This window comes from Homo sapiens, chromosome 17, assembly GCF_000001405.40.
Source record: "Homo sapiens chromosome 17, GRCh38.p14 Primary Assembly".
Lineage (NCBI taxonomy): Eukaryota > Metazoa > Chordata > Mammalia > Primates > Hominidae > Homo > Homo sapiens.
The window spans coordinates 77,936,931-77,949,530 of NC_000017.11; the positions used below are offsets into that span (position 1 = coordinate 77,936,931).

Here is a 12,600-nt window from a genome sequence, read left to right on the forward strand (position 1 = left end):
TGACACATGCTGCACCAGGACAGGATGGCTCTTCAGGTGAGCAGGTGGGCGGAGTTCACTCTGGCCCACCTGCCCATCCACGGCCTGGTCCTGCCTGCCATGCCGGCCTCACCTGAGTTGCTCCTTACTTCACACCGAATCCCCTGCGTGCACCGAGAGGCTCACAGCTTCCTGCCTTTGACCCACTCCGCTCGTGCAAGGCTTAGCTCAGGTATCTCTTCCTCCAGGAAACCTCCCAGGGTCCACGCTCAGCTCCTGGTCCCCCTGGAGACCCCAGTACCCACCCCACACTCATCGGAAGTTACCTGCTTGTCTATCTGTGCCCCTGACAAGACAGAAGGCTCTCCAAAGGTAGTGTATTGGAAAAGACTCCTTCAGCTACAAATGACATAAACCCAACCCAATGGGATTAAGCACAAGAAAAATGTGCTGGCTTCAGAGGCTGAAGGTTGGGCTGGCTTCCGATGGGGCTTGATGCTGGGGCTCCAGCCACATCCTCAGGACTTGTTTCTGTCGCCTCTTTGCTTAGCTTCATCAGCGTCATTCCCAGGCAGGTGCTCTCAGCTTCATATACAGTAGGGAACCAGCCTGGCCAACATGGCGAAACCCTGTCTCCACTAAAAATGTAAAAATTAGCCGGGCATGGTGGCACACACCTGTAGCCCCAGCTACTCGGGAGGCTGAGGCAAGAGAATCACTTGAACCCGGGAGGTGGAGGTTGCAGTGAGCCAAGATTGCACCACTGTACTCCAGCCTGGGCAACAGAGCGACACTCTCTCAAAAAAAAAAAAAAAAAAGAACCAACGACAACAACAACAAAAACATATACGGTAGGGAAGGGAAGAGAGTCTAGTTTCTTCATAGTTCAACTAAAATAATAGAAGAGAGTCTTGTTGGGCCTGGGTGGCTTGGCTTGCATCAGATAACTATCTCAAAACCAAGCCTGTGGCTGGGAGGATGCAATGGGTTAATTGAATCCAGGAGTTCACTGGAACCATATAATAATAATAATAATAATAATAATAATAATAATAATAGCTAATTATTAGTCATCTAAAGTAGAGAGTGGGTCCTTAAACAAAACTTGAGGTAACTATTATCATAAGAAGGTGCAGTAGAACTGAGCCACAAAATCACCAAAGCCAGCTGCTGGAGGCACTTCGCTTAACTATCTTGTCGGGGCGCAGGCCTAGGGTGCTGATGCAGGCTTCACACCCAATGCACTCTTGCTGACTTGAGCTGAAAGGAGGGAAGCAGCAAGGCAGCCACTGAGGCAAATTCCTGGGAGCCCTCTGACACCCATGCAGCATGCCAGGCAGCTGTAGACTTCTACGCCCTTTCATAACCTCAGGTAACTCATCCTCCTGTGTGTCTAGAGAAAGCTTTGCTGAAAGCCCCAACTGCCCAGCAGTCAGGGACACATGTCACTCCCTGAAGAGGAAACAAGGGAGATGCTGCAGGAGGCAGCTGGTCCCCGTTCCCGGCCCCCCAACTCCCTGGGAACAACTTCCTTGAAGGCCACCTGGATTTTCTGAGTGAGTTATTAAATCTTAAGCTGGAACGAAGAAGATACTCCAATACTGTTATTAGCCACTTTCATCAACTCTACCAACTACTAATTAAAATGCCTGCTGTTAAAGTTTATACTTTACTAAATGAAAACCAGGATGCAGCATATCAGCTATACTGTAAAAGTAATACTTGCTTGGTATGGAATATATTGAGAATATAAAAAATTATGGCAGGGGACGGTGGCTCACGCCTGTAATCCCAGCACTTGGGGAGGCCGAGGCAGATGGATCACTTGAGTTCAGGAATTCGAGATCAGCCTGGGCAACATAGTGAAACTCTGTCTCTACAAAAAATACAAAAATTAGCTGGGTGTGGTGGCACACGCCTGTGGTACCAGCTCCTCAGGAGGCTGAAGTGGGAGGATCACCTGAGCCTGCGATGCTGAGACTGCAGTAAGCAGTGATGGAGCCACTGCACTCCAGGCTGGGCGACAGAGGGAGACTCTGATTCAAAAAAAAAAAAAAAGAAAAAGAAAAGAAAAATAAAGAAATTATGAAAAATATGCACCCATAAAAAGGAAAAAGATCATGTCCTTTGCAGGGTCATGGATGGAGTTAGAAGCCATTATCCTCAGCAAACTAACGCAGGAATAGAAAACCAAACACTGCATGTTCTCACTTATAAGTGGGAGCTGAACAATGTGAACATGAAGACACAGGGAGGGGAACAACACACATGGTCTGGGTGGGGGGGGCAGGATGGAAGGAGAGCATCAGGAAAAATAGCTAACACATGCTGGGCTGAATACCTAGCTGATGGGTTGATAGGGGCAGCAACTCACACGTTTACGTGTGTAACAAACCTGCACATCCTGCACATGTACCTCGAACTAAAAATTAGAAAATAAAAAGAAATTGTAAAAAGTAAAAACAGTTACCAATAATCTCACCATCCAAAAACAACAACTAATAACATTTTGGGGGGTACTTTTCTTCTTCCAGTCTTTTTCTTTTCTTTCTTTCTTTTTTTTTTTTTTTTTGAGACAAAGTCTTGCTCTGTCGCCCAGGCTGGAGTGTAGCGGTGCCATCTCAACTCACTGAAACCTCCGCCTCACAGGTTCAAGCAATTCTTCTGCCTCAGCATCCCGAGTAGCTGGGATTACAGGCGCCCACCACCACGCCTGGCTAATTTTTGTATTTTTAGTAGATACGGAATTTCACCATGTTGGCCACGCTGGTCTCAAACTCCTGACCTTGTGATCCACCCACCTCAGCCACCCGAAGTGCTGTGATTACAGGTGTGAGCCACTGCGCCCGGCCCTTCCAGTCTTTTTCTAGATGTAGATGATGCAGATTTTTGGTAGCAGTGGTCATATTATCTGTATGTTTGATGTCTCGCTTTTTCCTCTCTGAATGCTTTACTTTTATCAGTTAACTTACAGCTTTTGTAAACATGTAATAGCTGTGTAATAGTACATTGAGATGATATATATTAATCTATTTAAGCACTTTATAATAGGCTGCTTTTAAATATGTGCTATTATACAAATGCAACCCGAAGTATTTTAAAAGTTTGAATTGGGCATAAGATGTATTTTGAAGTGGATGACAAATCTGACCTCAGACAACCATCACTGTGATCTTGATTTCCAGAGACTTCCTGAGTCTAGCTTCTCTCGCCTCTCCTTCGAACTGTGAGAAATAGAGGACATTTCGCCTGGCATTCTGAATGCCTCCAGCTTCAACTAGGGACTCGTACGGGGCTCTCTGGTGACGAATTCATCACGGGGATGTGACTGCCCTCCTAAAATTCTCTTCGGGGAACAATTCTCTGAGGTTTCATGTGGTGCCTAATTGACAACTTTCTGTAATGGGCTGGGATGATAACTCTTTCTTTAAGCCACAGATGATGATTAATGGAGTTCCAATAGGACAAGGTCCTCACTTTATTCTCACCTTCATTATTTTAATCTCTCTCTAAATGATTGGCTAATGGATCTGGATTGCTATAAGGTTCTGCGAATGGTGGATGGGTGTCTATAAATCCCTCAAAATCACTAGAGGTCCCCACCACTTGATTAAGGGGGTCGCCTCACCCCCAGGCTCAGGAGGGGGAGTATAACTGGCAGAAGTATGCATTAGACATGACTCTGGAGTGGCCAGATGACTTCGGCCTCCCCGAATGGCTGAATGGTGCCATCAAATTATATTTGCTCCTTGTGGGTAGGGATAAAGAGCAAAGGGTGAAATGGCAACTTGGAGGCCATCAAGAATGCAGAGGGTGGTGAGGAATCATTCATTAAGGTGTCACTCAGTGCATCCAGTCACTTAGCAATACTCTGAGCCAGCTGGTCTGTGCCAAGCACGGTGCAGGCATCGGGAAATCAACATCACCGGAATGGTCCCGGGTCTCACAGCCTCATTGTGGGAGGAAACAGCTACGATCTGGCAATAACCCTAGTGATAAAACTGCTGTTAAAGACATGTAAACTAACAGGGCCAACTTGCAGGGCCGACTTCATGTGTGGGTGTGTGACCTGTGTCATGCCACAGGGCCCGCAGGTAGAGAGACCTCTTGCTTGGTTTAACGTTCTGCTGGTGGGTTTTATTACCTGTGATAGTTGATAGCGGATGTCAACTTGATTGGATTGAAGGATGCCTAGATGGCTGGTAATGTATTGTTTCTGGGTGTGTCTAAGAGGGTGTTGCCAGAGGAGATTGGCATTGCTCCTCCTGCCCTTGGACCTCAAACCAAAGTCCAAAGGTTCTTCGGCCTTTGGACTCTGGGACTTACACCAGTGGTTTGCCGGGGGCTCTCAGGCCTTTGGCCGCAGACTGAAGGCTGCACTGTCGGTTTCCCCGCTTTTGAGGCTTTTGGACTGGGACTAAGCCACTACTGGCTGCTTTCTTCCCTAGCTTGCAGATGGTCTATCATGGGACTTTTCACCTTGTGATCATGTGAGCCAATTCTCCCTAATAAACTCCTCCCCCACTTTTTTTTTTTTTGAGACAGAGTCTCCCTCTGTTGCTCAGGCTAGAGTGCAGTGGCACGATCTTGCCTTACCACAACCTCCGCCTCTCAGGTTCAAGCAATTCTCCCACCTCAGTCTCCTGAGTAGCTGAGACTATAGGTGTGTACCACCACGCCCAGCTAATTTTTTGTATTTAGTAGAGACGGGGTTTCACCATGTTGGCCAGGCTGGTCTCAAACTCCTGACCTCAGGTGATCCACCCACCTCCGCCTCCCAAAGTGCTGGGATTAAAGGCATGAGCTACCATGCCTGGCCCCATTCGTCTATCTCTCTATCTACGTATCTATCTGCCTGTCTATCTGTCTACCTACCTACCTGCTTGCCTATCTATCTGTCTATCTACCTCTATCTCTACCTCTCTCTATCTTCTATTGATTCTGCTTCTCTGCGGAACCCTGATGGATACAGCAGTGTATAAGGCACGCTCTGCCATCCTCCCTGCTCCCTACCTGGGCCAGCTGTCAGAGTCAGGATGCAAGGGGATGGGGCTACTGAGCCTGGGATGCATCTGAAGACTCTTCTCCTCCAAGTTCCCACCACAAGTAGCCGTGGGAGCTGGCCCTACTTGTGCCCATGGGCTGGCTGCAGGTACCTTCTCATTTGCCTCTTTCAAGGACCCCGTGGTGTAAAAGCCCTGCACACTGCATCTCACCAAAGTCTGCCGCTGGGACATTAGTGCAGAAAGAGAGGTCTGCTTTCTTTCTGACTGCTATTGTATTTGGTTTGAGTTGGACCCCAGGATGGAGGCACTTGGTGGCAGTTAATGCCCTTAAATCAAGCCCAGTAAAACCTTTCATGCTGCTAATCACTGCACTGTGTGACACTCTGCACCCAGCAGTCTCCAGTGCTCACAGAATCTCTACAAAGGGACTGTGGCCTGCCGAGTGGTGGGGGGTGGTTGCTGCAGCCATTGGGATGATGTCTAACAAGGTCTTTTAGTGATGAGCACAGGATTCTCCAAAGAGATTTTTGCTGAAATGTCAGGCTCTGACACTTTTTTTTTTTTTTTTGTACATTGAAACACGTGTCATTGCTGCAGAACTGTGTTGTCTTCTGGGAACAAACACAGAGGCCCATTGTTTATGCTGCCAATTAGGAACCGTGTTTGGCCCCGACACACAAAGGCCCAGTTGTGTTCAGACGGCGGAGGGAAGTGTCTTGGATCTTTCGACACAGGTCTTTGGGCAGAGGAGCCTAGGCTAGTCACTTACAGGGTTCCAGGGAGCCATTTTCTCCTGCTTGGCTGAGCTGGCGATCTGGCTGGGACCTGGGAGAGTGCAGGTTGCTAGGGATGCCACTGGCTCCCATGACATCCCTCCGCTGACGGCTCTCCTGCTGGGCTTTCCAGGGGCTGCCACCCTGGGGTGTGCTGTCCTTGAGGTCATGCAGATCTCCTCCTGCAGAGCTGGAGGAGGAAGTTGGGCTTGGAAGAAGCAGCAGGTAAACTGAGCCTGTCAAAGGCTTCCTGGCTGGGCAGGGAAATGTTTGCATGCTCCCCATCAACAGGAATCCATTGCCTCCATAGGCTGGTCACAGAGGCAACACAGACCTTCATGAGTAATGCAATCAGTGTCCCTGTGCCCCAGAAAGAAGCTCTGCCCAGTGGCAGAGGCCCCCCAAATACAACATCAAAACCGCTTTAGTTTGACTTCTCTTAAGAAAGCTAGCCCACTAACTTGGCCTGTTTTAAAAGTAAAGATTAGTAGAAATAAGATTTCCCCCCCGCCACCAAAAAAAAAATGCAACAGTTGCTACAACCTGCTCTTCAGGGGCAAATTTCAATTGTTAAGTGGGTGAAGGCACTTCACTGAAAGGGAGGCAAATTTTCTTTCTTTCTTTTTATTTTTGAGAAAGAGTCTCACTCTGTCATCCAGGCTGGAGTGCAGTGGTATGATCACGGCTCACTGCAACCTCTGCCTCCTGGGTTCAAGCGATTCTCCTGCCTCAGCCTCCCATGTAGCTGGGATTACAGGCGCCAGCTACCACGCCTGGCTAATTTTTGTATTTTTAGTAGAGACAAGGTTTTGTCATGTTGGCCAGGCTGGCCTCGAACTCCTGACCTCAGGTGATCTGCCCGCACTGGCCTCCCAGAGTGCTGCGATTACAGTTGTGAGCCACCGCGCCCAGCCTGAGGAGGCAAATTTTCTAAACACACTGTGGCAAAACAATGCTGAGCTCTTCAATGCACCATTTCCATCGCTGTCCCTGGCATCACTAAACCACATCCACACTCCCAGTTCCATCAGAGAGGAGGACTTGGATCCGGCATCCTGGATCTAATGTCTAGTAGAAGTTTCCTTAAGTAAATTATGGCAAATTCATTTGATAAAACAATATGCCGGCTATGAAAATGATTGCTATAAAGCGCTTACTAAATAGCATGGAAGATTATAACGGGAAAAAGTTTCTTGCTCCTAGACTAAACGTGTTTCTCTTTTCCTCACAGAGTAATTCAAAACATCTTGTAAAACCATGAGCACATCTATAGATTTTTAAAAATTATGCTACGATATGAGTCTGGAAGGAAACATTTTTAAATGTTAACATAAGCTTCTTTGAGGGGCAATGTAATATTTTTCTTACTATCCTTCTATATTTTCTACATTGTTTCATAGCGAGTGTGTGTATTATTTTATAGTTGGAAAGAATAGAATAAACAAACAAGCGGTGGCTGAGATGACAGGATAGGGCAGGAATTCATTTTCTAGCCTCTCCCTCGTTCCAGTGGCTGGCTATGCCCCTGGTCTGACAACTGGCAGCTGGAGACCCTGCCCAGGTTATGAGAGGTGAACACCCAGGACCTCTTGGCCAACTCCAGGTTATACCAGATGTCAAGTTTAGAGGTTTGGCAACCTCTGAATTTCACTAGTTTGGGTTTGGAGTTTTCCCCCGACTTCTGGCTAGGGAGGTACACACACGCACACACACACACACACACACACACGAATCTACACATCTACACATCTCAACACGAGAGGCGCCCTGTAGGAACAGGCCATGTGGCACCTTGCACAGTCCCCTTGAAGGAAGCTGGACTCCTTGGTAGATGCTGTAATCTCAAATCTCCAAGGGACACTGGCCCTGGAAGCCTAGCTGCTGATGAGACAGGTTTTGGTGATAATCCCCCGAGTCATGCTTTCCAAAACAAAGTCTTTGTTCCAGGGGCGACTGTGAGCATCAGTACAAGGCACCTCCCAGGAGATTCTTCCTGTTAGTCCAAGGGCAGAACCTGTCTCCAGGTGGAAGGGAGCACACTCAGGTCCCAGGAGATTGGCAACACTGTGACTGGCTCCAGGTAAAGCTGCCCTCATTCCCAGTGCATCAACTGACTGACATCTGGGGCTTGGGCAGCTGCATTAAGCCAGTGAATTTCTCTCCTTGGCCCTGCTCCTCAGATTACTCAACCTGTTGCTTTTAACAAGAATTGCAGCTGAGTGTCTGAGATTAGACTCGTTCCCAAATGACCAACAAAAAGAATCTGCTTCCATTGCCCAAACCGGCTCCTTCACCCTTGTGTATACAGAACCCTGAGCCTGGAGCGCTGGCCCCTCCCTTGTTCCCCTGATACACACCCTCCTCTTCAGTTCTAGTACCATCTTCATGGCACCTCCCCTGACATCCACACGCAGAGGGAACCCAGTAATGTCTGGTACAGAAAGTCACGCATTCTAAATTAGTACAACATCTATGGAAAACAGTAAGGAGAGTTCTCGAGGAATTAAAGTAGATCTACCATTCAATCCAGCAATCCCACTACTGGGTATCTACCCAAAGGATCAGAAGTCATTATATGAAAAAGACACACGCACATGCATGTTTACAGCAGCACGATTTGCAATTGCAAAGCTATGGGACCAATATAAGTGCCCACTGAGCATCGAGTAGATAAAGAAAATACACCATGGAAAAGTACTCAGTCATAAAAAGGAACAAAATCATGTCCTTTGCAGCAACTTGGATGCAGCTGGAGGCCACTATTTTTTTTTTTTTTTTTTTTTGAGATGGAGTCTCGCTCTGTCTCCCAGGCTAGAGTGCAGTGGCGCGATCTCGGCTCACTGAAAGCTCCGCCTCCCGGGTTCACGCCATTCTCCTGCCTCAGCCTCCCAAGTAGCTGGGACTACAGGTGCCCGCCACCATGCCCGGCTAATTTTTTGTATTTTTAGTAGAGATGGGGTTTCGCCGTGTTAGCCAGGATGGTCTCGATCTCCTGACCTCGTGATCTGCCCGCCTTGGCCTCCCGAAGTGCTGGGATTACAGGTGTGAGCCACCAAGCCTTGCCTGGAGGCCGCTATTCTAAGTGAAGTAACTCAGGAATGGAAAACCAAATGCCATATGTTCTCACTTAGAAGTGGGAGCTAAGCCGTGAGGATGCAAAGACATACAGAGTGATAAAATAGGCTGTGGGATCTTGGAGTTGGGGAGGTTGGGTACAGTGCACACTGCCCCAGTGACAGGTGCACTAAATCTCAGAATCCACCACTATAGAATTCATCCATGTCGCCAAAAACTACCTGTACCCCAAAAACTAGGGAAATAAAAAATAATAATACAAAAAGAAAGTCATACATTCACCCAGTAAGTATTTACTGAAGGCCTGTTACACGCCGCACACTGGGGGATGCGACAGTGAGCCAACTGATACAGTCTGCTCAGGCCAAATCAGCTGGGCACTTAATAAAGCGGCCAAAAGGAAATGACTGGGGACCCAGCCCCACTGTCGGAGCACGGCAGGCAGCTGAGCCAAACGTCACAACATCTGGGATAACAGAGTGCGGAAATATCTTGGTTGAGACTGGGTTGAGGAGCCCTTGGGTTGACTTGAATCACAGGCTGAAGTGGTGTGAGATTTGTTTAACCAAACATTCCTAAAGGCAAACTATCATCTGACTGTTCACCAACTCCCCTCAGCCCTCCTAATCCTGCTCTTGAAACTGTCACTCACCTGGGCTCCTATGTGGAGCCACTTTGACACCCCAAGTCTCCTGCCCTTCAGTTAGCAGCCAAGTTCGTGTCTCTCTCTAAAATGGCTCCAGCTCTCTCATCATGGCCAATACCCTATTTATCTCCACATTACCAACAGCTGTCATCCCTTCCTTCAACAAACATTTATTTATTTATTTATTTTTATTTTTTGAGACGGAGTCTCACTCTGTCACCAGGCTGGAGTGCAGTGGCGCAATCTCGGCTCACTGCAAGCTCCGCCTCCCGGGTTCACGCCATTCTCCTGCCTCAGCCTCCTGAGTAGCTGGGACTACAGGCGCCCGCCACCACGCCCAGCTAATTTTTTTTTGTCTTTTTAGTAGAGACGGGGTTTCACCATGTTAGCCAGGATGGTCTCGATCCCCTGACCTCACGATCCGCCTGCCTCGGCCTCCCAAAGTGCTGGGATTACAGGCATGAGCCACCGCGCCTGGCCTCAACAAACATTTATTAAACACCTAACATGTGCCAGCCACTATGCCAGTGCTAAGACACAGTAACAACCAAAAGGGCAAGTGCAGAACCCACTGTGCAGTGGTAGAGACGGGCATTAACTAGGGCTCCCGTGTAAATGGAGATGAGAAAGTTGATAGAATAAACGCATGGATGAATGAATGAATGGCCCGTTGTTTGTACTGTCACATGACCCCTGCTCTCATCCACCCTACAGATGCTGCTGGGATAGCCATCCCCTACTACAGCTTTGCTCTTGCCACTTCCTGCCTTAAACCTTCAGTGGCTCCCTACAACACACTAGATTAAGTTCTAATTCCCTAGCCTGGTGGCTCTCCATGCTCTGGTTCCAAACCCCCTTTCTAGTTTTGTTTCCTTCTAACCTTCTAGGGATGACCTACATACTAATCTAACTATTGCTGTATCTGTTTGATTTGCCTGTCCAGAAAATGTACTCCCAATTCTGATGTTGAAATCTTACCCATCTGAGGGAAGGGAAGTATATAGGATGATGGGAGGTGGTGTACAAGAGTCACATCCTCATTCTCTAGAGTAGGAAGTCATGATGTTAAAACAGGAAAATCAAGAAGGAAGAGGGTGAGCATATTATTTAGAAACATTAAGGTAAATGGCGGAAGAAACAAAAAAGGATTTGAAAGTAGTTGACTCCAGGGGTAGAAATTCAGAGTGAGGAGGCTTGCAGGGCATAAGACTGGGTTTTGTTGTCGTTGTTGTTGTTGTTGTTGTTGTTTTGCTTGTTTTATTTCAAAATTAGTAATATGTAGTTGTCTTTTAAAACTATATACATGGGCGCGGTGGCTCACGCCTGTAATCCCAGTACTTTGGGAGGCAGAGGCAGGTGGATTGCTTGAGGCCAGGAGTTCAAGACCAGCCTGGCCAACATGGTGAAATCCCATCTCTACTAAAAATACAAAAAAAAAAAAAAAAAAATAGCTGGTTATGGTGGTGCACACTCTAATCCCAGCTACTCAGGAGGCTGAGGCAGGAGAATCACTTGAACCCGGGAGGCAGAGGTTGCAGTGAGCCAAGATCGTACCACTGCACTCCAGCCTGGGAAACAGAGTAAGACTCTGTCTCCAAATAATAATAATAATGATAAAATAAAACTATATATACGAATTACTTTGCATTTTAAAACTGTTTTTAAGGTCGGGCGTGGTGGCTCATGTCTGTAATCCCAACACTTTGGGAGGCTGAGGCGGGAGGATCACTTGAGCCTAAGAGTTGGAGACAAGCCTGGGCAACAAAATGAGACCCCCATCTCTACAAAAAGTCAAAAAATTAACTGGGTGTGATGGCACACACCTGTAGTCCTAGCTACTTGGGAGACTGAGGCAGGTGGATCACCTGAGCCTGGGAGGTCAACACTGCAGTGAGCTATGATCACGCTACTGCACTCCAGCCTGGGTAATAGAGTGAGACTCCATCCCAAAAAACCAAACTGTTTTTAATGCATACAATATAGCAAGAGAAATATTTAAATAAGAACTAAAAATATTAAAAGAGGTAATGTGTATAAAGTGCATAGCTAATGTCTGGCTTGTAATAAGCAAAGAAAAATAAGGTTATCATTACTTTTGTCTTTTCTATAAATTCTGTTGTATGCTAGGCTTCTTCAGGTTTTACCACATCACAACCCCGTGACAGCTTCCTAACTCACCTCTTAGCCTTCAGTGTTTCTCTCCCCATATCACACCATCCTGCCTGTCCATGGCATATTCATCTTCCTAAGACTATTTTTATTTTGCAATCCCTGTTGAAAGACTACAAAGGTTTCCTACTGTGTGTTAGGAGAGTGGTAGCTGCTATAACAAACAAACCCAGACTCTCAGTGGACTTACCTAACACATGTGCACTTTTCACTCATCTGGTGTTCCTGGTTTTTAGGAGATGTTTCCCCTCTTGAAGTTTAGGGACATGGGCCCTTTTCCTTTTGAGGCTCTTCCATCTACTGGGTCCTCTGCATCCAGGCAGGAGAGGGCACAACTGCCTCTCAATTGCCCAAGAAGAGAGAGCACAACTGCCTCTTAATGGCCTTAGCGTGGACATGAATCACATCACTTCGGCTCACATTCCTTTGTCCAGAACTGGTCACATGGCCCTGCCCGGAAAAGAAGGAGTTCTGGGAAATGTAGTCCTGGCTGGATACAGATGCCCCTTCTCAGTGGGAACTCACACTGGGGAAGTATAGTATGGATTTAGGTGGAGCCATCTCTTCCACATTCACCACCTGCAGAATCACATCCAAACTCTTAGCTCAGCCCAGTGGCTCTCTTTCTTAGCCAAACTGTTTGGATTCTGCCTCCTAACAAGAGCCTTCTGTAGTTACCATAACCAGATCTTGATGTCATCTCTAAGTTCTGTACATTTGATGGGACGCATTCCATCCATCTCAACACGGTGGAGCTTTTCAAGTGCAAATGCCATCTCCTCTTTGAAGACTTTCTCTTTTTTGTAGCCATCCACTGATCGAATTACTGGAACTGAATAGAGTTTGAGTTAGATGGGACCTTAGTTATAGAGTCCAATCCCACTGGTATAAGAAAAAGGGAATTCACCCAGGAAGGTGAAGGAAATCCCAAAAACATGGCATTCCTAGCAAA

General features: G+C 47.2%; 1 annotated feature.

The window, feature by feature from the left end:
- Positions 11,799-12,329: an enhancer, noted in NCBI's record as "NANOG hESC enhancer chr17:75944811-75945341 (GRCh37/hg19 assembly coordinates)". NCBI's record gives its function as "activates a minimal SCP1, AML or CMV promoter by ChIP-STARR-seq in naive H9 embryonic stem cells {active_cell/tissue: H9 hESC(naive)}" and the evidence as "EXISTENCE:reporter gene assay evidence [ECO:0000049][PMID:30033119]".